At 43.3% G+C, this 1,129-nt stretch overlaps 1 annotated feature.

Annotated features, from left to right (window-relative positions):
* Positions 322 to 913: an enhancer, noted in NCBI's record as "OCT4-NANOG hESC enhancer chr2:150755802-150756393 (GRCh37/hg19 assembly coordinates)". NCBI's record gives its function as "activates a minimal SCP1, AML or CMV promoter by ChIP-STARR-seq in naive H9 embryonic stem cells {active_cell/tissue: H9 hESC(naive)}" and the evidence as "EXISTENCE:reporter gene assay evidence [ECO:0000049][PMID:30033119]".

The following is a 1,129-nucleotide window of genomic DNA, read 5'->3' as shown; positions in this document are numbered from 1 at the left end:
AATTCCTACTTCAGTCTCTGAACCCGAACCAGTGTTCAGACCCAGAACACATTGACTGAAAGAGCAGCAGAGTCCTTCAGTAGAAGGACCCTGAATCATCATGACATCCCTAGTCTTTCCTCAAGAGAATGGCTCTTTATTTGGATAAGCAATCACTGGGACCTATGGCTATTTATTTGGATAACCATTCACTGGGGGATAGCAATACTCAGACATTTCAAGGACTGTTGGACTGAGGTTCGAGATCATGTTAATTGTACTGGATGGGCAAGAAGCAACAAGTAAAGACTTTCATATGACATGTACGACGCAGAGAATAGAAAATAGACTCTCCAAAGACTCAGAGTCTCAATAATCAGTTAAGATTTTGAAGGTCAAGCAGTCTGGGTCATGCCAGGAAATCCACTCCAAATTAAGGACAAAGTATTTCATCCCATGCCTCCCACTATGAAGAAGAAAACACAATATCTGGTAGGCCGCTTTGAGTTTTGAAGGCAACATATTCTATGCTTAAGAATCCTCCACCCACCCACTAAGCTGCATGAAAGACTGCAAGCTTTATGTGGAATACAGAGCAGGAAGGGGAGCTGGAGCAGATCTCTGCATGACAATAGGCTTTAATCCCCAGATTAAAAGAAACAATGTGGGGATAATGGCAAATGGCAAGTATGTTCAATCTAATGATATACTTAGTGATTTATCTGGGATTGGCATACGCATGGCCAGAGGAGGCAAGTAAGCCAGTAAGCTGTTAGCAGGTACCCAGACTCCCAGGACATCTGCCTCCAAATCATCTACTTCAGTTCATAGCTGTGACTGAATGGAGGATCCCTTATGACAAACCAATAGAAGAAGAAAAAATGCTAAGCTTGGTTAATAAATGTGTTGGTTCAGCACATTGGGTGCAAAGTGAGAAAGAACTGTTCAGGAGTGGCCCTGACTAGCAATAGTGAGAGGAAGTCTTCCCTTTGACCTAGCTCTGGGTGAGGCATCTGATCACTTAGTTTGGAAAGACAAGTAACCTGTGAATGGATTGGGGCATATATGGGCAGTATTCTGAATGGCCTGGGAATACCAGTTGTGGCCGTAAGAACATTGACTGTTAGACGCACTCTATTTTGCCCCCTGA

This window comes from Homo sapiens, chromosome 2, assembly GCF_000001405.40.
Source record: "Homo sapiens chromosome 2, GRCh38.p14 Primary Assembly".
Taxonomy (NCBI): domain Eukaryota; kingdom Metazoa; phylum Chordata; class Mammalia; order Primates; family Hominidae; genus Homo; species Homo sapiens.
Note: the sequence above shows the minus strand (reverse complement) of the source record. Positions and strands in the feature narration are given on the sequence as shown.